Source organism: Homo sapiens, chromosome 19, assembly GCF_000001405.40.
Source record: "Homo sapiens chromosome 19, GRCh38.p14 Primary Assembly".
Taxonomy (NCBI): Eukaryota; Metazoa; Chordata; class Mammalia; order Primates; family Hominidae; genus Homo; species Homo sapiens.
This window is the reverse complement of record NC_000019.10, coordinates 52,427,603-52,452,435: the sequence shown is the minus strand read 5'-3', so window position 1 is coordinate 52,452,435 and position 24,833 is coordinate 52,427,603. Positions and strand designations below refer to the sequence as shown.

The following is a 24,833-nucleotide window of genomic DNA, read 5'->3' as shown; positions in this document are numbered from 1 at the left end:
TGAACCCAGGAGTTGGAAGGTGCGGTGAGCAGAGATCGGGCCATTGCCATCCAGCCTGGGCAACAAGAGTGAAATTCCGTCTCCAAAAAAACAAAACAAAAAAAAGAAAACACACACACGCACAAAACAAAAACAAACTTTTTTTTTTAAGTTGCTGAAGGGGTATCATTTCTTGAGTTAAATAATACAGGATTTTTTTTTTAATCTGTAATTGATGTACATTTAAGAAGACACTGTTTACATCAGGTCACCACAAAGTAGATTTACAAATAACCATCAACTGCAGAAAAACAAAGTTTCTTTGTGATCCAAACACAAAGAAATGCTTTTTTTAAATGATCTCTTCTTTGATCATAAAAAAAAAATGCAGTACTTTTAGAAGGTAAAGCTAGTAAGTTTACAGAAGTGTAAAACACCAAAACACTTTAAGCAAAAACTCTTTGTTTTTAAGAAAAAGGTATGACTTCTCGTTTTCTGTTCTTGGCATAAATTTTAATTCTTTCCGGTAGAGCCAAAACCTCCTGATCCCCTTTTGGTGTCATCCAAAGCTTGAACTTCTTCTATTTCTGGATTAAAAAATCCGTTCACAAATGAGCTGTGCAATTCGATCACCTTTTTTTGACTTCAAACTTTTCTTTGCAAAAATTAAAGAGTACAACACCAACATTTCCTCTATAATCTTCATCTGTGATACCAGCTCCTACATCAACAAAGTGTTTTGCAGCCAAGCCAGACCTTGGAGCTACTCTCCATAACATCCAGAAGGAAGCGCTGTCTGAATGTCCGTTTTCACAAGAGCCTTCTCCATAGGTGGTGGTGTGTAATCACAGGCACTGTACAGATCGTAGCCCGCGTGCCCGGAGAGCCAGGCAACGCGGAGCTGCATGCCGCCCTCCTCCGCGGGCTGGGCCCGCTGGCTGGGTGAAACGGCGGGTGTCTTAGCTCCGCGGCAGCCTCTGCTCAGGCGGCCAACGCTGGACAGCGTCCGGGGCGTGCGGCGCCGCACTGCGCGGCCGAGGGGCGGGCCCGGCCCTGAGAGTCCCGTGGCCTCGGCCCTCTGCCGTGAGCCTCGCGCGTTTTGCATCGCCAAGCGAAGCAGAAACGGAAGGAAATGGTAGCAGAGCGAGGGGCGAGGGCAGAGGGGAGTCATTTCCCACAAAGTTTGGGCCGGTTGGCTCCTCAGCACCTCCGGACGCGCGCCAGGCTTCCACCCTGAAGACGCGCGCGTCCCAGGCCAGAAGTGAAAAATCTATGGGTAGAAAATTATAAACAGTGATGAAAGAAGTGGAAAGGTTACACAAAAAAGTAAAGGCTACCCATCTTTATGGGTGGGAAAAAATTAATATTGTGTATATGATCATACTACCAAACGCAATGTACATATTCAACACATTCTCTTTCAAAATATCAAAAGACATTATTCACAGAAATAGAAAAAAATGAATCCTACGGCTGGGTGAGGTGGCTTGTGCCTGTAATTCCAGCACTTTGGGAGGCCAAGATGGGCGGATCACCTGAGCTCAGGAATTTGAGACCAACCTGGGCAACATGGCAAAACCCATCCCTACAAAAAATACAAAAATTAGCCAGGTGCGGTGGCATGCACCTGTGGTCCTAGCTACTCAGGAGACTGAGGCAGGTGAATCGCTTGAGCCTGGGAGGCAGAGGTTGCAGTGAGCTGAAATCGCACTACTGCACTCCAACCTGGGCAATAGAGACCTTGTCTAAAAAAAAAAAACAAAAACAAAAACAAAAAAAAAAAAAACTCCTAAAATTCATAGGGAACTACGGAAGATCCAAAAAAGCCAAAGCAATTCTGAGCAAAAAGAACCAAACTGAGGGGTATTACACTACCTGACTTCAAAATATACTAGAAAGTAATGGTATCCAAAACAGCTTGCTACTGGGATAAAAATAGACACATAGAGCAACAGAACAGAATAGAGAACAAAGAAACCCACATCTTTGCAGCCAGCTGATTTTTGACAAAGAATATACATTGGGAAAAAAGACAGTCTTCAATAAATGGTGCTGGAAAACTGGATCCCCATATGCAGAAAAATAAAACTAGACCCCTATTTCTCACCATACACAAAAATAAAATCAGAATGGTTTGACATAAATGGAAGATCTGAAACTATAAAACTATAAGAAAACAATAGGAAAACTCTTCAGGGCATTGATCTGGGCAAAGATTTTTTAGGTAAGACCTCAAAAACACAGGCAACAAGGGCAAAAATAGACAAATTGGATTATATTAAACTAAAAAGATTCTGCACAGCACAGGAAACAGTCAACATAGTGAAGAGACAAGTGACAGAATTAGAGAAAATATTTACAGTCTATCCTTTTGACAAGGAATTAATAAGTTGAATATATAAGAAACTCAAACATCACGATAGCAATTTTTTTTTTTAGACGGAGTCTCACTCTGTAGCCCAGGCCGGAGTGCAGTGGTGCGATCTTGGCTCACTGCAACGTCTGCCTTCCCGGGTTCAAGCAATTCTCATGCCTCAGCCTCCCAAGTAGCTGGGATTACAAGCACACACCACCACGCCTGGCTAACTTTTGTATTTTTAGTAGAGACAGCGTTTCACCACCTTGGCCAGGCTAGGCTTCAACTCCTGACCTCGTGATCCACCTGCTTCAGCCTCCCAAAGTGCTGGGATTACAGGTGTGAGCCACCACACCTGGCCACAAACAAATTTTTAAAGCCAATTAAAAAATGGACCAACTATCTGAAAAGACATTTCTCAAAAGGAGACATACAAACGACCAACAGGCCTATGAAAAAATGCTCAACATCACTAATCATCAGGTAAATGCAAATCAAAACCACAGTGAGATATAATGTCATCTCAGTTAGAATGGCTATCATCAAAAATACAAAAAAAAATAACAAATGCTGGTGAATATGCAAAGGAAGAAAATGCTAGTACACTGGTTGGTGAGAATGCAAATTAGTATAGCCATTATGGAAAATAGTATGGATGTTCTTCAATAAACTACAAACAGAACTACCATATGATCCAGCAATTCCACTGTTGGAAAGAGAGAAAGAGAGAGAGAGAGAGAGAGAGAATGAGGATGGAAATCCGGATATCAAAGTGATATCTGCACACCCATGTTTACTGTAGCACTGTTCTCAATAGCCAAGATATGGGATCAACTTACATTTTCATCACGAACAAATGGATAAAGAAAATGTATATATAGACAATGGTATACTGTTCATCCTTTAAAAAGAATAAAATCTTGTCATTTGCGGCAGCAACATGGGTCAAAGTGGAGGTCATTATGTTAAATAAAATAAACCACGTACAGAAAAGACAATTATCTCATACTCTCACTCGTATGTGGGAGCTAAAAAAGTTAATCTCATGGAGGTAGAGAGTAGAATGCTCATTACCAGAGAGTGGGGAGGTTAGCACAGGCATGAAAAGAAGTAGGTTAATGGGTACCAAAAAAAACCAGAAGGAATAAGTTGTCATCTCCAGTAACATAGTAGGGTGACTATAGTGAACAATAATTTATTGTATATTTCAAAGTAGCTAGAAGAGTTGAAAGGTCGTCAAGAGAAAGAAATAAATGTTTGAGGTGATGGATATTTAAATTATCCTGATTTGATCATTATCTATTTTATGTGTGTATCAAAATATCACATGTACCATATAAATAAATACCATTGAAAATGTTAAAAGAATGATTTTAAGGTTGAATAACACTACTGAATTGTACACTTAAAAAGTTAAGAGACTAGAGCTCACGTTGTGTTCTTACCTGATTATATAAAACATTCTCCCAAATAATGCCCAAATAATGCAATTTTCAGGCACAGATGGTAACACTAGACAATTGTTTTTATTTTTGTAGAGATGAGGTCTCACTCTGTCATCCAGGTTGGAGCTCAGTGGCACAATCATAGCTCACTGTATCCTCAAACTGCTGGGCTTAATAAGTCTACTCAACTCAGCCTCACATTCACAAGTAGATGGAACACCATGCCGGGCTAATTTTAAAAAATAATTTTTTTTTTTTGAGACGGAGTCTTGCTCTATTGCCCAGGCTGGAGTGCAGTGGTGTGATCTTGGCTCACTGCAACCTCCAACTCCTAGGTTCAAGCACTTCTCCTGCCTCAGCCTCCCAAGTAGCTGGGATTACAGGCTAATTGTTTTGTATTTTTAGTAGAGATGGGGTTTCACCATGTTGACCAGGCTGGTTTCAAATCCTGACCTCAAGTGATCAGCCCACCTCGGCCTTCCAAAGTGCTGGGATTACAGGTGTGAGCCACTGCGCCTGGCCAAAAAATTTTTCTTTTTAGAGATGAGGTCACGCTATGTTGCTCAGACTAGTCTCAAACTCCTAGCCTTAAGAAATCCTCCCATCTCAGCCTAACCCTAAACAATTCTATTAAACCTGTAAAGAAGTATTAACAGCAATTATATACAATTTGTCCCAGAAGGCAGAAGAGGAGGGACTACTTCCCAACTTAATTTATGAAACCATTATTATGGTTTGCCAAAACTAGGCAAAGGAATTAGAAAAAAAAAAAAGTCTAAAAACTAAATTTCACATGAAAAAAATCGCAAAATTCTTAAGAAAATATTAGCAATAGAAATCAACAATATATAAAAAGATTTGTACTCCATGATTTAATGGGGTTTATTTGAGGATGGAAGGCTGTTTAATCATTTAAAATTCAATCAGTGTTCTGTCTACTACACTGCGTTATGAGAAGAAAAAAATAAAATTTGATCAATGTAATCCACGATATTAACATGATAAAAAGATTTAAAAAATCATAGGACTCTATCAATAGAGGCAGAAAAAAACACAACAAAATTCAACACTTGTCTATGGTCTGACTTTCAAAACTGATAATAGAGCAAAACTTTTTCATCTTCCTGAAGAACACCTACATACCTTAGGGAAAATGTCACTGTTAGTGTTAAAACAAAAAGAAAAACAAAAAACAAAACTGAATGCTTCAACACAGAGGTTGAGAATGAAACAAGTATGTCCACTCTTTTTGCCATACCATTAGAAATTGTACCCAGTGAAATAAAGAAATAAAAACAAATGTAAGAGACCAGAAAGGAGGATAAAATAGTATAGCCATTAACAGAATATATTAGTTATAATAGGATGAATAATGTTCTCCCAAATGATGTCCATGTCCTGATCAACATGATCTGGGTTACTTTATGTGTCAAAAGAGGGTTCACAAATGTCATCTAGTTAAGGATCTTGAGATGACATTTTGTCCTGGTTTTTCTTATAAAGGTGATATCATCACAAGGGTCAGTATAAGAAAGATGCAGGTGGAGTTAGAGTCACTTAGTAGTTGGTGATATGGTGAAAACATCAGGACAGAGATAAAGATATAAGATGATCTGCAACTGACATTGAAGGTGGAGGAAGTGGACCATGTGGCAAGGAGAGATGCAGTCTCTGCAACCAAGGAAGGGTTAGAAAACAAATTCTTTCCTCAAGATTGAAGAACAATCACAGCATTGCAGATCTATATTAGGCTTCTGACATCCAGAACTATAAGACAATAAATTGTACGTCTGTGTGTGAGACAGGATCTTGCTCTGTCACCCAGTCTGGAGTACAATGGTGCAATCATAGCTCACTGCAGCCTCCATCTCCCTTGCTCAAGCGATCCTCCCACCTCAGCCACCTGAATAGCTGAGACATCAGGCATGTACTACTACAGTCAGCTAATTTTATAATTTTTAGTAGAGATGAGGTCTTGCTATGTTGCCCAGGCTGGTCTTGAAGGCCTGAGCTCAAATGATTCTCCTGCTTCAGCCTCCCAAAGTGCTGGGGTTACAGGCACGAGCCACCACACTCAGCCAAATTTGTGGGATTTTTTTTAAAGCACTCACTTTATGGTAATTTGTTATAGCAGCAATAGGGAACCAATAAAATGATGTATGTAGAAAAGCCCAAAAAGTATAAAAAATCTCTAGAGTGAGTGAAATTTCAGGGTCTCAGGATGCACCGTTGACATACAAAAATCTCTTTTTTAGGTGGGGACAAATCTGAAGGGAGAATGTTGGGTGTCAGTTTCCATGGTAATAGTGGCACTAATGTCATGTTTCCCTGTAATATCCTCTGGTGGGAATAGGAATATCATCCAGTGAGAAGAGGCAGAATGGCCTTGAGATTGAGCATGGAGATAATCTCCTTGTCACAAACTGTAATTGGCATGTGGTGGGGGATGACTTTTTCTGTTATTTATCATTATATTTTCATTTACTTCAACAAATGCTGGAGACACACTTGATTTCAAGCACCTGAAGAGAGCAAGCACCCACATTAAGAGATTTTAGTTGACCATCTTATATCAACTTGGTACCTCCATTGAATTAAAGATTTAAAGGAACACTTCTTTTTCATAATTATACAGAACCTAGTTCATATCAGTTATTGTGTTATGTGCATTTTCATGTCACAAAATTTTGTCTCAAAAGAAAACTTTCATTTATATATTCCCTGTGTTTTTCAGAGGAGTAACACAGGTAAGAAATGGAAATTATACATATAATAAGGATTACAATGTGTGGAAGGAAAAATATAAGAAAAATTCTTGTTTTCAGAGGATCATGGCAGATGGCAGGGCAGGACTAACTTGCAGCTTCCACTCAGATGGACAGTAGTGTGTGGAGTCCTGCATCATGAATTTTTGCTCCAGAATGACTGCAAGAGTAAATTAGGAAGCCAAGAAAACCCACAGGACCTCTGAAGGAAGTTGGTTGCTCTTGCTCCCGCAGGACCCAGGAGACACCCCAAATACTGTGAGTGCCCAAACTGTGTAAGTGGGAAAGGAAGATTGTCTGCCAAGAACACAAACCGTCACTGGCAAACCTGAAGGTCTAGATCATGGGAGAAGATTCTGACCTTACCTGGAACTCAGTCAATTTAGAGAACTGAGGCTGGGTGCTATGGCTCACACCTATAATCCCAGCATCTTGGGAGGCTGAGGCAGGTGGATCACTTGAGGTCAGGAGTTCGAGACCAGCCTGGCCAACATGGTGAAACCCCGTCTCTACAAAAAATACAAAAATTAGCCAGGCATGGTGGCATGTGCTTGTAATCCCAGCTAGTCAGGAGGATGAGGCAGGAGAATCGCTTGAGCACTGGAGTTGGAGGTTGCAGTGATCGGAGACTGCACCACTGCACTCCAGCCTGGGTGACAGAGCAAGACTCTGTCTCAAAAAAAAAAAAAAAAATTAGCTGAGTGAAAAACAAGGGTAGCGGGAAAAGCTCTCTGGGTCCCCTAGCAAGCCATTTTCTGCCTTGCCTCACAGGGGTCCTGGGGGAAGGCTGCAAGAGGCACTGGGAAAAGGCCACAGGGAGAAGGAAACCTCCAGTTGAACTTTGTAACAATTCCAACTGAATGAGAAGTCTCCTGGCCAAAACTCATGGAAGAGCGTGAATCCAGTGTGCAGACTCCACAGGCTGGGAGGCACGAAAGCCTTACTTGCTTTTGTAGTTGGGAGGCTGGTAGCCTGGGGCAAGTTCTCAGCCCTGCTTGCCCACTGCCTGGAAACAGACTTCCTGCTGTTGGGACATGGGGGCACGGTGGGAGTGAGACTGGCCTTTTGGGTTGTACAGGAGCTGGGTGAGGCCTATGACTACCGGCTTTCCCTCACTTCCCTGACAATCTGCATGACACTGCAGAGGCAGCCATAATCCTCTTAGAAACATAACTCCATTGACCTGGGAACCACAACCCCATCCCCCACAGCAGCAGTACCAAGACCTGCCAAGGAGAGTCTGAGCTCAGACACACCTAGCCCTGCCCCCAACTGATGGTCCTTCCTTACCCACCCTGGTAACTGAAGACAAAGGGCATATACTCTTGGGAGTTCTAGTGCCCTGCCCCCACCTAATCCTCCCCATACTACCACAGCTGATGCTCTCTTGAAAGCACCACCTCCTAGCAGGAGGCCAACCAGCACAAAAATAGTACTTTAAACAACCAAAACTCAGGACCCTCACAGATTCCATTTCGTCCCCCTGCCACCTACACTGGAGCAGGTCCTGGTGTCCACAGCTGAGAGACTCATAGACAGTTCGTATCACAGGACTCTGTGCAGACAACCCCCAGTACCAGCCTGGAGCCTGGCAGACCTGCTGGGTGGCTAGATCATCCAGATGGGAGATAACAATCACTACAGCTCAGCTCTCAGGAAGCCACATCCCTAGGAAAAGGGGGAGAGTACTACATCAAGGGAATACCCCATGGGACAAGAATCTGAACAACATCCTTAAGCCCTAGACCTGCCCTCTGACAGCCTACCCAAATGAGAAGGAACCAGAAAGCTAACTCTGGTAATATAACAAAACAAGGTTTTCTAACATCCCCCAAAAAATCACAGTAGCTCACTAGCAATGGATACAAACCAAGAAGAAATCCCTGATTTACCTGAAAAATAATTCAGAAGGTCAGTTATTAAGCTAATCAAGGAGGCACTAGAGAAATAAAATGATACAATAAATGAGGGGAGAAATTTCAGTTAAATAAATAGCATAAATAAAAAACAAAAACCTCAGGAAACAATGGATGCACTTACAGAAATGCAATATGCTCTGGAAAGTCTCAGCAATAGAATTAAACAAGCAGAAGAAAGAATTTCAGAGCTCAAAGACAAGGTGATTTTTTTTGTTTGTTTTTGAGATGGAGTCTCACTACATCACCCAGGCTGGAGTGCAATGGCGCAATCTCGGCTCACTGCAACCTCTGCCTCCCAGGTTCAAGCAATTCTTCTGCCTCAGCCTCCTGAGTAGCTGGGGCTATAGGCACTCACCACCATGCCCAACTAATTTTTGTATTTTTAGTATAGATGGGGTTTCGCCATATTGGCCAGGCTGGTCTTGAACTCCTGACCTGGTGATATGCCCACCTCAGCCTCCCAACGTAAGATGAGGTTTCTGAATTAACTCAATCCAACAAAGACAAAGAAAAAATAAGAAAATATGAACAAAGTCTCCAAGAAGTCTCGGATTATGTTAAACGATGAAACCTAAGAATAATTGGCATTCCTGAGGAAGATGAGAAATCTAAAAGTTTAGAAAACATATTTAGGGTAATAACTGAGGAAAACTTTCCCAGGCTTGCTAGAGACCTAGACATCCAAACATAAGAAGCTCAAAGAATACATGAGAAATTCATCGCAAAAAGATAATCACCTAGGCACACTGTCATCAGGTTATCGAAAATTAACAACATTCCCATTCTGTGTGCTCAGACTTAAGAGAAAATGCATGTTTTCTCTTCCATTTCAAAAATAAGACTACTGTTTTCCATCTTTGCTAAACAGGAACTATTGCTATTCAATTGAGGAGGTGACCACCCCTTCCCCTCCATGATTGCTACCACGTAATCAATACCTAACAACAATTATTCTCTTCCCATAAAAATGCCATGCCTTTAATGGCATGCTCTATTTTACAGTTATTTATTAGAGCACAGAAGTACTGCATCCTTGTCAAGAAAAGAGTGGGCAGTACTCAAGAAAAGAATAAGCGTGACTGCTTCAAGCAGTCATCATTTTATGTTATTCTCTACCCATGTCCATGCTGTCTAAATCAGACAATATTTAATATAAAAAGACAGTGTTCTTCTTCCAGGAAGCTGAATAGAAGTGATCCTCAGCTAATGAAATCAGCCCTGTCATCCTATTGATTCTTTCACTTGATTCTTTCCCAGAGACCACAGTGAAAGGCCTGTAGGAGGAGGTATATGTCAAGATCTCAAAGTTCAGGTTGAAAGTTATAAAGAGGAAAGTAGCTTTCTGCTGAGACCAGCTCAGTCATGGGGACCCTAACCCAGCGGTGCTAGAGGAATTAAAGACACACACACAGAAATATAGTGTGGAGTGGAAAATCAGGGGACTGACAGCCTTCAGAGCTGAGAGCCATGAACAGAGTTTGACCCACATATTTATTGAGAGCAAGCCAGTGATAAGCATTGTTTCTATTGATTATAGATTACATAAAAGCATTCCTTATGGGAAACAAAGGGATGGGCTCTGGTTAGTTATCTGCAGCATGAACATGTCCTTAAGGCACAGAATGCACATGCTATTATTTGTGGTTCTGGAACGCCTTAAGCGGTTTTTCTGCCCTGGGTGGGCCAGGTGTTCTTTGCCATCATTCTGGTAAACCAACGACCTTCAGCATGGGTGTCATGCCCATCAAGAACATGTCACAGTCCTACAGAGATTTTGTTTATGGCCAGTTTTGGTGGCCTGTTCCCAACACTTTTAGGAAAAAAGAAAACAATAATTAAATCCTTTTCATGTTCTATAGTAATGGTCCTTGGATATCCTCAGCATATACAATCCATCTGTGTCGTTTTATCCAAAAGTATATTTTGATTTCTAGTGATTTGGCAGGCCTCAGGAAAGCCTGTGCCACATACATTACATTTATATGATTTCTCCTTAGTATGGAACCTCTGATGTTCATTAATGCTAAAACTCATGACGAGCTTTCCGTACACAGCTTGTAAGGACTCTTTCATGAATAAATTATCTGATGCTGTCCAAGGTGTGAATTGTGACTAAAACATTTTACCACATATGTTGCATTTGTAAGGTTTCTCTCCATTATGTGGTGATTTGTATTTGTAAGGTTTCTCTCTATGTGGTGATTTGTATTTGTAAGGTTTCTCTCTATGTGGTGATTCGCAAGATGTGAATTTCAATTTGAGACCTTGCCACATTCATTACAGTTGTAAGGTTTGTCTGCAGTATGGATTACAAGATGGGCAGTAAAGCCTGAACATTATCTAAATGCTTTGTCACATTCGCTGCATTTGTAAGGCTTCTCTGCAGTATGAATTCTATAGTGATTTGTTAGGGAATACTTGTGACTGAAGACGTTTCACATTGTTTGTTTATATTTGTAGATAGGGTCTCACTCTGTCACCCAGGCTGGAGTGCAGTACTGCAAACATGACTCACTGCAGCCTCAAGCTCCTAGGCTCAAATGATCCTTCTGCCTCAGCCTCCCAAGTAGCTGGGAATACATGCATATACCAACACACCTGGCTAATTTTTTATTATTTGTAGAGATGGAGTTGTCCTTATGTTACCCAGGTTGGTCTCAAACTCCTGGGTTCAAGCAATCCTCTCACCTTGGCCTCCCAAAGGGCTGGGATTATAGGTGTGAGCCACCATGCCTGGAGTACATTCCATATATTCATATGATTTCTCAAGCTGGGTGCAGCAGCTCATGCCTGTAATCCCAGCACTTTGGGAGGCCAAGGCAGATGGATCACAAGGTCAGGAGATCGAGACCAGCCTGGCTAACATGGTGAAACCCCGTCTCTACTAAAAATACAAAAAATTAGCCAGGCATGATGGCATCATGTGCTTGTAGTCCTAGCTACTCGGGAGGTAGAGGCAGGAGAATTGCTTGAACCTAGGAGGTGGCGGTTGCAGTGAGCTGAGATTACACCACTGCACTCCAGCCTGGGCATCAGAGCGAGACTCTTGTTTCGGGGGAAAAAAAAAAAAAAGACTTATCTCCACTATGGATTACAAAATGAACAGTTAAGACCTGAACACCTTCTCAATGCTCTGCCGCATTCATTACATTTGTAACGCTTCCTTCCAGTATGAATTCTTTTTTTTTTTTTTGAGACAGAATCTCACTGTCACACAGGCTGGAGTGTAGTAGCGCATTCTTGGCTCACTGCAACCTCCATCTCCTGGGTTTAAGTGATTCTCCTGCCTCAGCCTCCTGAGTAGCTGGGATTACAGACACCCACCACCACACCCAGCTATTTTTTTTATTTTTAGTAGTGATGGGGTTTCAACACATTGGTCAGGCTGGTCTCAAACTCCTGACCTCAACTGATCCGTCTGCCTCAGCCTCCCAAAGTGCTGGGATTACAGGCGTGAGCCACCGCACCCAGCCTCCAGTATGAATTATTTGATGTGCAAGATGTGAATTGTGACTTTGACTTTGCCATATTTGCTACATTTAAAAGGTATCTACAGTATGAATTTTCCAATGTTGTGCCAGATGTGCATTTTATTTGAAGATGCTGTCATTCATTTGTAAGGTTTCTCTCCAGTATGGATTCTGTGATAGTTTACAAGGTGTGTATTTTAAGTGAATACGTTGCCACACTTGTTATATGTTTAAAGTCAATCACCAGTGTGAATTCTCTTGATGAGAGGTTAGGGAAAACATGTGCCTGAAGACCTTCTTGTATTCTTTATATTTCTATGGTTTCCTTCCAGTATGGATTAATAGATGGGTAGAGAGGCATGATTTCATATGAAATTCTTTGCCATATTTATTACTTTTGTGAGGCTTCATAACTTTTTTTGTTTTGTTTTTAAAGAAAGAGTTTTGCTCCTCTTGCCCAAGCTGGAGTGCAATGTTGCAATCTCGGCTCATCACAACCTCTGCCTCCCAGGTTCAAGCAATTCTCCTGCCTCAGCCTCCTGAGTAGCTGGGATCACAAGTGCCTGCCACCTCAGTCAGCTAATTTTGTATTTTTAGTAGAGATGGGGTTTCTCCATGTTGGTCAGGCTGGTCTCGAACTTCTAACCTCAGGTGATCTGGCCACCTTGGCCTCCCAAAGTACTGGGATTAAAGGCGTGAGCCACCATGCTTGGCAGCTTCACTCATTTTTTTTTTTTCTTTTTTTGAGATGGAGTTTCACTCTGTCACCTAGGCTGGAGTGCAGTGGCTCACTCGGCTCACTGGAGGCTCTGCCTCCCAGGTTCATGCCATCCTCCTGCCTCAGCCTCCTGAGTAGCTGGGACTACAGGTGCCTGCCACCACACCCAGCTAATTTTTTTTTTTTTTTTTTTTTTGTATTTTTAGTAGAGATGGGGTTTCACCGTGTTAGCCAGGATGGTCTCAATCTCCTGACCTCATGATCCACCTGCCTCGGACTCCCAAAGTGCTGGGATTACAGACGTGAGCCACTGCGCCCTGCCAGCTTCACTAAATTTTTAAGGCTTCTCTCTGGTATGAATACTGCAATGTTGTACTAGGATGGAATTTTTACTAAAGACCTTGCCACATTCATTACAACTGTAAGGCTTCACTCCAGTATGAATATTCCTATGTTGTGCAAGGCGTGAATTCCGACTGAAGACCTTGCTACATTCATTACATTTGTAAAGCTTCTCTCCAGTATGAATTTTCCTATGTCGCGCAAGGTGTGAATTCCGACTGAAGACCTTGCCACATTCATTACAACTGTGAGGCTTCTCTCCAGTATGAATATTCCTATGTCGCGCAAGGTGTGAATTCCGACTGAAGACCTTGCCACATTCATTACAACTGTAAGGCTTTTCTCCAGTATGAACATTCCTATGTCGCACAAGGTGTGAATTCCGACGGAAGACCTTGCCACATTCATTACAACTGTAAGGCTTCTCTCCAGTATGAATATCCCTATGTTGTGCAAGGTGTGAATTCTGACGGAAGACCTTGCCACATTCATTACATTTGTAAAGCTTCTCTCCAGTATGAATTTTCCTATGTCGTTGAAGGTTTGAATTCTGACTGAAGACCTTGCCACATTCGTTACATTTGTAAGGCTTCTCTCCAGTATGAATTCTACAGTGATAGGTTAGGGAAGACTTGTGCCTGAAGACCTTGCCACAGTCTATACATTCGTAAGGTTTCTCTCCAGTATGGATTAGAAGATGGGCAGTGAGATCTGAACACGTTCTAAATGCTTTGCCACATTCATTACATTTGTAACGCCTCCCCCCAGTATGAATTTTCCTATGTCGTGCAAGGCGTGAATTGCCAATAAAGACCTTGCCACACTCATTACATTTGTAAGGTTTCTCTCCAGTATGAACTTTCCGATGCCTTGCAAGGAATGCAATTCGACTAAACCCCTTGCCACATTCATTACATTTGTATGGTCTCTCTCCAGTATGAACTGTCTGATGAGTGGTTAGGGAAGACTTATGCCTGAAGACCTTGCCACATTCCTTACAATCATAAGGTTTCTCTCCAGTATGGATTACAAGATGAGCAGTAAGACTGGAACACACACTAAATGCTTTGCCACATTCACTACATTTGTAAGGCTTCTCTCCAGTATGAATTTTCCTATGCTGTGCAAGGTAGGCATGGTGACTAAAGACTTTCCCACATTCTTTGTTATTGTAAGGTTTCTGTCCAGTATGAATTTTCTGATGTTGTGCAAGGTGTGAATTCTGATTGAAGACTTTGCCACATTCATTATATTTGTAAGGCTTCTCTCCAGTATGGATTCGTTGATGTTGTGCAAAGTTTGAATTGCTACTAAAGATCTCGCCACAGTCACTACATTTGTAAGTTTTATCTGCAATGTGGATTACTTGACGGTTAGTAAGGCTTGAAGACACTCTGAAGACTTTCCCATGCTCATTACATCCATAAGGCTTTTCCCTAATGTGTACTTTCTGTTCTTGTGGGAGTAATGTAGAAAAAAGAAAATCATTTCTGTAGTTATTAAAAATATGGGTTTTGACACTGAAAAAACTTATTTGAACTGGTGAAACTGAAGAATTGTCACTGATAGATTTCTCAACATGCTTACATCCATAAATATTCCTTACAGCTTGAAATGGCTGCCATTCAGTCAGATGTAACTGAAGAGTTAATCCATGTTGATTTTTAAGTGACTTGTTTCCTGCACTGCTTCCCAATTTAGAACTCTTCTCTAGAAAAGCAAGAAAATTTTAGAACTTAATCCCGATTCTGGCATGTTTAAAGTCTGACAGAAAACAAGATTCTGCATCACTTCACTCAGACATTGAAATTATCAGCATACTTTGTTTTTATTGAGATGGAGTCTCACATTGTCACCCAGGCTGGAGTGCAATGGTGTGATTGCAGTTCACTACTACCTCTGCCTCCTGGGTTTAAGCAATTCTCCCTCCCAAGTAGCTAGGATTACAGGTGCCTGCCACCATGCCTGGCTAACTTTTTTTATTTTTAGTAGAGACGGGGTTTCACTATGTTGGCCAGGCTGGTCTCAAACTCCTGACCTTGTGATCCACCTGCCTCAGCCGCCCAAAGCGCTGGGAATACAGGCATGAGCCACTGTGCCTGGCCAGTATCAGCATACTTTGTATAACATGTTGGTAATGCAGAAAACACAAGGGAGTGAGGTGATTTACTGAAGAATCTGGAATCTGCAGGAGTCAGGGGAATTAAGGGAAAGCTTGAGAGAGATTATAAGCTGACAAATACAAGAGTAACTAACAGCTTCTGTGAAAAAGCAGGGATAAGCCTCTTAAGGAAAATAAGATATTTAAGAGCAGCAATGTAGATATTTGTAATAGTACTTTCACAAAGTCAGGAAAGATACATCCCAGAAAAGAATGGAGTGTTCCCACACCCTTACAGCAACTAAGGTCTCCCACTGCGCATTATAAAAAATAACTGAAAAAAGTGGTTGTTTTACCAAACCTAAACCAAAAACTACCATACAAGGCCTATGAAAAGATGAGAAAATATGGCTAGAAGAATAACAAATAAATAAATAAATAAAACTCCAGACACCAAACTAAAAGATAACAGAAATAGAAAACTAAATAAAATCAGAAAAACAGTATGTGAAAAGAATGAGGATAACAAACACAGGGGAAATCATTAAAAACAAGAGAACAGAAATTCTGGAGCTGAAATACAGTAACTGATGTAAAAATCCATTAGGGGGTTTAACAGCAGACAGCAAAAGGAAAGGAAAACAATGAGCAAACTGAAAGATAAGTTATTCAAAAGTATCAGTTCCAAAGACCACAAAGAAAACATGATGAAGAAAACCTTACAAACCCTAATACATTTTTGAGAGACTATAAGGTGGAACAATATACAAACTATTGGAGGTTCATATGAAGATGACAAAGGATGAAAAGCCACAACTGAAGAAATAATGTTAAAACATCACACATCTGAGGAAAGAACTGAATATACAAATTCAAGAAGCTTGACCATTACTAAAATTAGCCCAAAGACATTCACACAGGGACATAATATAAGGAAATTATCAAAAGTCAAAGAGAGACAGAGACAAAGTTTGATAGCATCAACAAAAAAAGAGACTTGACATATAATAGGAAACTGTATAAGTCTATGTGTATTTTTCCAGCAGGTATCTTCAGGGTAGAAGGCAGTGAAGTGATACTGAAAGTGCTTAAAGAAAAATAAGGGCCGGGCACGGTGACTCATGCTTGTAATCCCAGAACTTTGGGAGGCTGAGGTGTGTGGATCATGAGGTCAGGAGATTGAGAACATCCTGGCTAACACGGTGAAACCCCGTCTCTACTAAAAATACAAAAAAAATTAGCCAGGCATGGTGGCGGGAGCCTGTAGTCCCAGCTACTTGGGAGGTTGAAGCAGAAGAATGGCGTGAACCCAGGAGGCAGAGCTTGCAGTGAGCCAAGATCATGCCACTGTACTCCAGCCTGGGTGACAGAGTGAGACGGTCTCAAAAAAAAAAAAAAAAAGAAGAAGAAGAAAAATAAGAAAAACATCAATGAAGAATACTATATTTAGTAAAACTCATCTACAAAAATAATTCAGGCTTTCCTAGATAAAGAAGAACTGAGAAAGTTAATTAGAACTCAAAAATCATTATGTGAGGCTGGGCACAGTGGCTCATGCCTGTAATCCCAGCACTTTGGGAGGCTGAGGTGGGTGGATCACTTGAGGTCAGGAGTTCAAGTACAGCCTGGGTAATATGGCAATACTCCATCTCTACTAAAAATACAAAAAACTAGATAGGCATGGTGGTGTACACACAGAGTCCCAGCTATTCAGAAGGCTGAGGTGGGAGAATCACGTGAGCCCCAGAAGGTGAGGCTGCAGCCAGCCATAATCATGCCACTGCACTCCAGCCTGGGTGACAGGAGAGAGACGCTATCTCAAAACAGAAAAAAGAAAATGAAAAATGTCTGTTCACAACTCAAAGGATTTCAGCTTTGGTTTTCCCACAGAATTCACCCACTTGCAGAGTTTCCCAAACACTATGTAATAGTGTGGCTCTGCAGAGTATAGTGGCTCAAGCCTGTAATCCCAACACTTTGGAAGACCAAGCCAGAAGGATCCCTTAAGTCCAGGAGTTTAAGGCTGCTGTGAGCTATGATTGCCACTGTACTCCAGCCTGGATGACAGAGTGAGACCCTTCTCAAAATACAAAAATTATGGGGCCTCCACTCTGCCCACCTGAGCTCTCACCTGTGTTCACACCTTTGATGCACTCCCTGCCATCTGGATTGTTTATTATTTTCACTTCACTCTGCAGAGTCCAGGGATCTCTCTTTTGCTCCAACATGGAGGTAACACTCAGGTCAGGAAGACAGATTCCTACTTACAAAAAGAAAGAATAAATGTGTGCTGTGGCATCTCCAAAGTCCAAGCCCTATATTTAGGTAGGAGACAGCATATTACAAATTAATCAAGAATAATATTTCACAAATTCAACCACTGATTGCATCCTTCTGAATGCTAAGGGAACATTGTAACATGTAGACGTCAAGCCCCCTTTCAAGAACTACTGAATCAAAAGCACATGGGTAGAAAACAGGGAACTGGATATTTTTTAAGTCTGTCATAAGGTTTCATGCACACTTCAGCCCTGGTGCCATCAATGATGAATCATGAAGGAAGCAGAATATCTGAAGAAAGGGGACATTTCTTTCTTTTTTTTTTTTTTTGAGACAGAGTCTCACTCTGTTGCCCAGGCTTGAGTGCAGTGGCATGATCTCAGCTCACTGCAGCCCCTGCCTCCCAGGTTCAAGTGATTCTCCTGCCTCAGTCTCCCGAGTAGCTGGGACTACAGGCATGTACCACCATGCCTAACTAATCTTTGTATTTTTAGTATGGATGGGGTTTCACCAGGTTGGTCAGGCTGGTGTAAGGGGACATTTCAAGTTCAGAAAGCATAATGCTTTTCATTTCTTTTTTTTTTTTTTTTTTTTTTGAGACGGAGTCTTGATCTGTCACCCAGGCTGGAGTGCAGTGGTGCGATCTTGGCTCACTGCAAGCTCCGCCTCCCGGGTTCACGCCATTCTCCTGTCTCAGCCTCCCGAGTAGCTGGGACTACAGGCACCCTTTTTTGTATCTTTAGTAGAGATGGGGTTTCACCGTGGTCTCGATCTCCTGACCTCGTGAACCATTTGCCTCGGCCTCCCAAAGTGCTGGGATTACAGGCGTGAGCCACTGCGCCTGGCCTGCTTTTCATTTCTTAGTCAACAGGTTTCAATCTCAGTCAAGCAATGCAGGGGCTCCCGAGAGACACACAAGAGAAAATGCAAAAAGATATACCAGAGCAGATGCAGGCTTCTGGACGGACATTATCCTCACCTAGGGAGACCAGGTTCCTGTAGTTCTCTAACATCACGTCCCTGTATAAAGCTTTCTGCCCAGGGTCCAGGCATTTCCACTCCTCCTGAGAGAATTCTATGGCCACATCGCTGAATGACAATTGCCCCTAAAAGGAAATCCACATTTCAAAAACAGGGTATGGAGAGAGTACTTATCTTCAAACAGAATGAGAAGACAGTTGTAAGGACTCACTCCACTGAAGCGAGCACTGCGCCAAATCCACATTAAAGGATTCTTGAGCTAGTTATGTGTCTGTGATTGTGTTTTATTATACTTTTCCATAAGGAGTGATGACATTCTTTAAATCAGAGTAGATGTCTCATTTTGTGGATAATACAAGCAATACAAACAAAAAATTAAACCAGGGTTATCTGTATAGAAATGTTAGGTATTACTGCCGGGCACGGCGGCTCATGCCTGTAATCCCAGCATTTTGGGAGGCCAAGGCGGTCGGATCACGAGGTCAGGAGATCAAGACCATCTTGGCCAACACGGTGAAACCCCATCTCTACTAAAAATACAAAAAATTAGCCAGGCGCGGTGGTGGGGGTCTGTAGTCCCAGCTACTCAGGAGGCTGAGGCAGGAGAATGGTGTGAACCCAGGAGTGGGACATTGCAGTGAGCTGAGATTGCGCCACTGCACTCCAGCCTGGGTGACAGAGTGAGACTCCGTCCCCTCCCCCCCCCAAAAAGAGAAAGAAATGTTAGGTTTTATTTTTGACACATCAAGTGACATTTAGTATCTACCTGAGATACAAGTAGTGTCTTCAGAGATGACAATGTCTACAGTGCTTTCTTTCTTTTTTTTTTTTTTTTTTTTTTTTGAGATAGGATCTTACTGTTTCCCAGACTGGAGTGCAGGGGTGTGATATCCACCCACTGCAACCTCTGCCTCCCAGGCTCAAGTGATCCTCTTAAGCCTCCCGAGTAGCTGGGACTACAGGCTCACACCACTATGCCCAGCTAATTTTTGTATGTTTTGTAGAGATAGAGTCTCACCACATTGTCCAAGCTTGTCTCAAAGGCCTAAGCTCAAGTGATCCTCCCACCTCAGCCTCCAAAAATGCTGGGATTACAGGCATGAGCTACCACATCCGACCTATAGTGGTTTTTAAAAATGGTCAAAATCTGGGCCGGGCGCAGTGGCTCACACCTGTAATCCCAGCACTTTGGGAGGCCGAGGCAGGTGGATCATGAGGTAAGGAGTTCGAGACCAGACTGGCTAACATGGTGAAACCCCATCTCTACTAAATACAAAAAATGAGCTGGGCATGGAGGTGTGCACCTGTAATCCCAGCTACTCAGGAGGCTGAGGCAGGAGAATGGCTTGAAGCCAGGAGGCAGAGGTTGCAGTGAGCCGAGATTGCATCATTGCACTCCAGCCTGGGTGACAGGGCGAGACCCTGTCTCAAAAAAAATAAATAAATAAATAAAATAAATAAAAAATGGTGAAAATCTGAAAACTGCGATGATAACAACAGCAATGGCTGAATAGAACACTTCCCATGTGATAGGCACTATTCTCAATGATTTACATGAACTAACTGGTACAGCAACAAAAGCCAATGAAAGAATAATCTGCTCCTATCTTACTAAAAAGACAACTCTTTCACATACACGCTAGCTTGCCCCAGGTGTGAGAACTGAAACAGCAGAGTAAGCAGCAGATCACAGGTGTCTGAGCATGAGAATCAAACCTAAAGAATCAGACAGTTAAGTAACAGATCAGCATCAAAAGTAAATTGACAGTTACCTAATTCAGTAAATTTAAAACAACTTCAAGGATTAAAAACATGGAATTGCCTAATAGTTCATTATATATGCATATATATAATCGATATCCCCATAATACATTACTATAATGTTCTTATAGCCATTGCCTCATTGCCTCTTATAGCCACTATCAGGTATGATGCCTCATATCATCATACATGATAATGTAGAAAAATTTGAACATCCTGATAAATAGATGTAATTTCAACTGATAAAAATATATATATATATAATGATGACATGCTATTTATAAAAACTATAGGTTTGCTCATCTGTGCACTCATGCAAACACATCACATGTACACACTTACACATATATATACTAACACTCATATACACTAGTACACATATACATTTATATGGCCGAGATCACAAAACCACACTCCAGCCTGGGCAACAGTGCGAGACTCTGTCTCAAAAAAAAAAAAAAAGGAATTCCACATGCAGCTTCTCTAGTCTTAGTCCACAGAACACTCACAGTGCATCCAGATGTGGCCCCTGAACAATCCCTGCTGCCCAACAGCACTGACACCACAAGGCCCACACCCCATCTCCATCCGTGTCTGGGTGTGAGCACTTCCCAGGACCATGCCCAGTGGAACCTCTTCCCAAGTTCATGTCATTGGGTCATAGGGAACTGGAATCTTAAGTGGAAGTGAAAGGGACTGGAAGAAGCCATGGGTAAGTGCAATGAAATGAGTCAGGCAGGATGCTTCAGAGTCAGAGATTAGCAACTCCAATGCCTGGCATTTCAGGAAGAAACAGAGACAGAACAATCCACTGAGAACATTACCTTACCTGAGTAAGGGCCATTCCTGACTTCCTTTCTTTCCTCTTCCGAGTTGCTTCCTTGCATAATATGTCTCTTTGAAAGTGAATCCTAGTATCAAAAATAATGCTGTTTAGGGCTTAGAATCAACACACCCACTTCCTGTGCCACAGCCACACAAAAAGGGAAGACTTCACCTTCTGGAAGGATGGTCCTCTGCTGCCTACTGTTGATCTCCCACAGGAAAATCAACAAGTGAGTTTTTTACTCCCTTCCTCAAAACTCTCTCCTGTCTCATGGTGAGCGACACACACACTGCAGCAGTGCAGAGCTGGGCTTGACTAAGCTCCCCTTAAAAGCACAGACTTGGCCGGGTGCGGTGGCTCCCACCTATAATCCTAGCACTTTGGGAGGCCGAGGTGGGCAGATCATGAGGTCAGGAGTTTGAGACCAGCCTGGCCAACATAATGAAACCCTCGTCTCTACTAAGGATACAAAAAATTAGCTGGGCGTGGTGACACGGGCCTGTAATCCCAGCTACTCAGGAAGCTGAGGCAGGAGAATCCCTTGAACTTGGGAGGCAGAGGTTGCAGTGAGCCGAGATCGCACCATTGCACTCCAGCCTGGGTGACAGGGTGAAACTCCATCTTAAAAAAGAAAAAGAAAAAAAAAAGGCCATGTGTGGTGGTTCACGCCTGTAATCCCAGCACTTTGAGAGGCCAAGGCAGGTCGATCACGAGGTCAGGAGTTCAAGATCAGCCTGGCCAAGATGGTGAAACCCCGTCTCTCCTAAAAATACAAAATTTAGCTGGGTAATGGCAGGCACCTATAATCCCAGCTCTTAGGAGGCTGAGGCAGGAGAATTGCTTGAACCCAGGAGACAGAGGTTGCAGTGAGCCAAGATTTTAACACTGCACTCCAGCCTGGGTGACAGAGTGCGACTCTATCTCAAAAAAAAACAAAAAAAAAGCACAGACCTCACCCTGACCAAAGCTCATGCAGAGCACAGGCCCCTCAGCCCTCTGTGGATCACAGTGCTCAATTCTAGATATAGACTATAGTAGAATCCTTTTATCGATGTGCACTATGTTCCAAGAGCCCCAATGGATGCCTGAAACCTCCATCAGTACTAAACCCTATTAATTCCCCTTAAAGACTCCATGTTACAGCTTCTCACTGGCATATCCAAATTGTCAGCATCAAGGCCGGGCGCAGTGGCTCACGCCTGTAATCCCAGCACTTTGGGAGGCCGAGGCAGGTGGATCACCTGAGGTCAGGAGTTCAAGACCAGCCTGGCCAACATGGTCAAACCCTGTCTGTACTAAAAATATAAAAACTAGCCGGCCGTGGTGGTGGACACCTGTAATCCCAGCTACTCGGGAGACTGAGGCAGGAGAATTGCTTGAACCCAGGAGACAGAGGTTGCAGTCAGCCAACACAGTGCCACTGCACTCCAGCCTTGGCGTCAGAGTGAGACTCTGTCTCAAAAAAACCCAAAAAAAAAATTGTCAGCATCAATCAATACTCATGTGCCTGGAGGGCATTGTTAAGGGAAAAAAAAAAGGGTTACATGAAAAAAAAGCACTGAGATACCATAAAAGTGGATCTCATCCAAAAGACTATTGGCCAAGTACGGTGGCTCATGCCTGTAATCCCAGCACTTTGAAAGGATGAGGCGGGCAGATCACCTGAGGTCAGGAGTTCGAGACCAGCCTGGCCAACATGGTGAAACCCCATCTCTACTAAAAATACAAAATTAGAGAGGCATGGTGGCGTATGCCTGTAATCCCAGCTACTCGGGAGGCCCAGGCGGGAGAATCGCTTGAATCCGGGAGGCGGAGTTTGCAGTGAGCCGAGATCACGCCATTGCACTCCAGCCTGGGCAACAAGAGCAAAACTCAGTCTCAGGAAAAAAAAAAAAAAAAAGACTATTAAGTGACTAACGAGCAGATACAGTCTAAAGTCAGCCCTTGGTATCTCTGGGGTACACATCAATGGATTCAATCAACTAGACTGAATAATTACAAAAAATGAAAAAAAAATAGCAAAGTGCCAGGATTACAGGCGTGAGGCACCGCGCCCGGCCTAGAAGCCTCCAAGCGGTTTTAACACGCAGGTAAGCGACCTCCAGACTCTCTAGAGAATGTCTGAATTTACTTGGAGTGGATAGAGCGGTGCCGGGACTTCAAGGTCTGCATGAGCCCTCAGATCGCGGGTGTAGAAGCACACAGGAACTGGGCAGCCTAAATTTAATCTAGACAAAGGCAAACTCACGAGTGGCGGCTTAGACAGTCTTTCCGCGCAGTCGGGTGCCGGGTCTACAGGAAAAAGCGCGCGAAACGTTCACTCCATGATCTCGACTTCCGGGTCTGCAGGAAATTGCGCGCGCATCGTACAGGCCGGGCCCGGGGCCGAGGGCAGGGCCGGGACAGGGCGGGCTCAAGGCGGGGTCTATGCTTCTGTCAGTCTGACTCAGCGATCCTGTTTTAGGGTTTTGGAGGCGAGATCTGCTCAGCACTTCTGTAAACAGATCTGTAAACAGATCTTGCTGGGGCAGAGCAAAATCGGTTGGTGATTAGATTAGATCCACGAGAATTCCTGTTATTACAATAAATTTTAAGTCCCAACTACTCTGGAAGCAGAGAGAGAAGAGAGCGTGAAAAGAAAGCAAAAAGAAAGACAAGGCCGGGTGCGGTGGCTCACTCCTGTAATCCCAGCACTTTGGGAGGCCAAGCCGGGCGGATCACGAGGTCAGGAGATCGAGACCATCCTGGCCAACATGATGAAACCCCCGTCTCTACTAAAAACACAAAAATTAGCTGGGTGTGGTGGTGGGCGCCTGTAGTCCCAGCTACTCGGGAGGCTGAGGCAGGAGAATCACTTGAACCCGGGAGGCAGGGTTGCAGTGAGCCGAAATCGTACCACTACACTCCAGCCTGGCGATGGAGTGAGACTCCGTCTCAAAAAAAAAAAAAAAAAAGAAAAGAAAGAAAGAAAATAAGACTAGAGAGAAATAGTGCAACAAAGAAAAGAATGTAGGTGTCTGTGCCTGTGTGTGAGAAAAAGGGAGAGACAAGAAAGAACGAAAGAAAGACATTTTTTTTGTTTGTTTGTTTGTTTGAGAGTTTCGCTCGTTGCCCAGGCTGAAGCTCAATGATGAGATCTCGGCTCACTGCAACCTATGCCTCCCAGGTTCAAGTGATTCTCCTGCCTCAGCCTCCCGAGTAGCTGGGATTACAGGTGCGCACCACCACACCCGACTAATTTGTTGTATTTTTAGTAGAGACGGGGTTTCACCATGGCCAGGCTGGTCTTGAACTTCTGACCTCAGGTGATCTGCCCGCCTCGGCCTCCCAGAGTGTTGGGATTACAGGCGTGAGCCACTATGCCCAGCCAGAAAGACAAATTTTAGGAATTAAGACACTTTGGAACTATCTGTGAAGGGGATGGAAGCTAAAGTGTGAAATGCTAAACCCTGCCAGAGTGGAATGCGCAGTATCATGCCAATGCCCCATAGAATAGAAATACTTTTTTTTTTTTTTTTGAGATGGAGTCTTGCTCTGTCGTCCAGGCTGGAGTGCAGTGGCACAATCTCGGCTCACCGCAAGCTTCGCCTCCCGGGTTCACACCATTCTCCTGCCTCAGCCTCCCGAGTAGCTGGTACTACAGGCACCCGCCACCATGCCTGGCTAATTTTTTTTGTATTTTTAGTAGAGACTGGGTTTCACCGTAGTCTCGATCTCCCGACCTCATGATCCGCCCGCCTCAGCCTCCCTAAGTGCTGGGATTACAGGCGTGAGCCACCGCGCCCGGCTAGAAATACTTTTCATTTACATTCCCCATTCACTCCAGAGGGTGAGGTCAACCCTGTGCTCAATTCCAGAAACTTTCCTAGGGACACCACCTTGGGCATAGA

At 43.1% G+C, this 24,833-nt stretch overlaps 1 protein-coding gene and 1 pseudogene across 5 annotated transcripts; both read right to left on the bottom strand.

The window, feature by feature from the left end:
* On the bottom strand, positions 148 to 1,230 carry LOC441862 (DUT pseudogene; annotated as a pseudogene).
* Positions 173 to 23,288, bottom strand: ZNF534 (zinc finger protein 534). Of its 5 annotated transcripts, none has more exons than NM_001291368.4 (5): positions 23,192 to 23,288; positions 20,947 to 21,028; positions 18,355 to 18,481; positions 17,227 to 17,355; positions 173 to 1,249 (listed from the first exon to the last, which is right to left on the bottom strand). In NM_001291368.4, the coding sequence occupies exons 2-5, from the start codon at positions 20,959 to 20,961 to the stop codon at positions 939 to 941; spliced, it is 582 nt and encodes a 193-aa protein (NP_001278297.1). In that variant the 5' UTR covers positions 20,962 to 21,028; positions 23,192 to 23,288; the 3' UTR covers positions 173 to 938. The 5 variants fall into 5 exon arrangements, with proteins under 5 accessions (NP_001278297.1, NP_001278298.1, NP_001137411.1 ...); NM_001143939.3 differs by lacking the exon at positions 173 to 1,249 and adding an exon at positions 9,937 to 14,704 and having other exon boundaries at positions 18,316 to 18,481; NM_001143938.3 differs by lacking the exon at positions 173 to 1,249 and adding an exon at positions 9,937 to 14,704.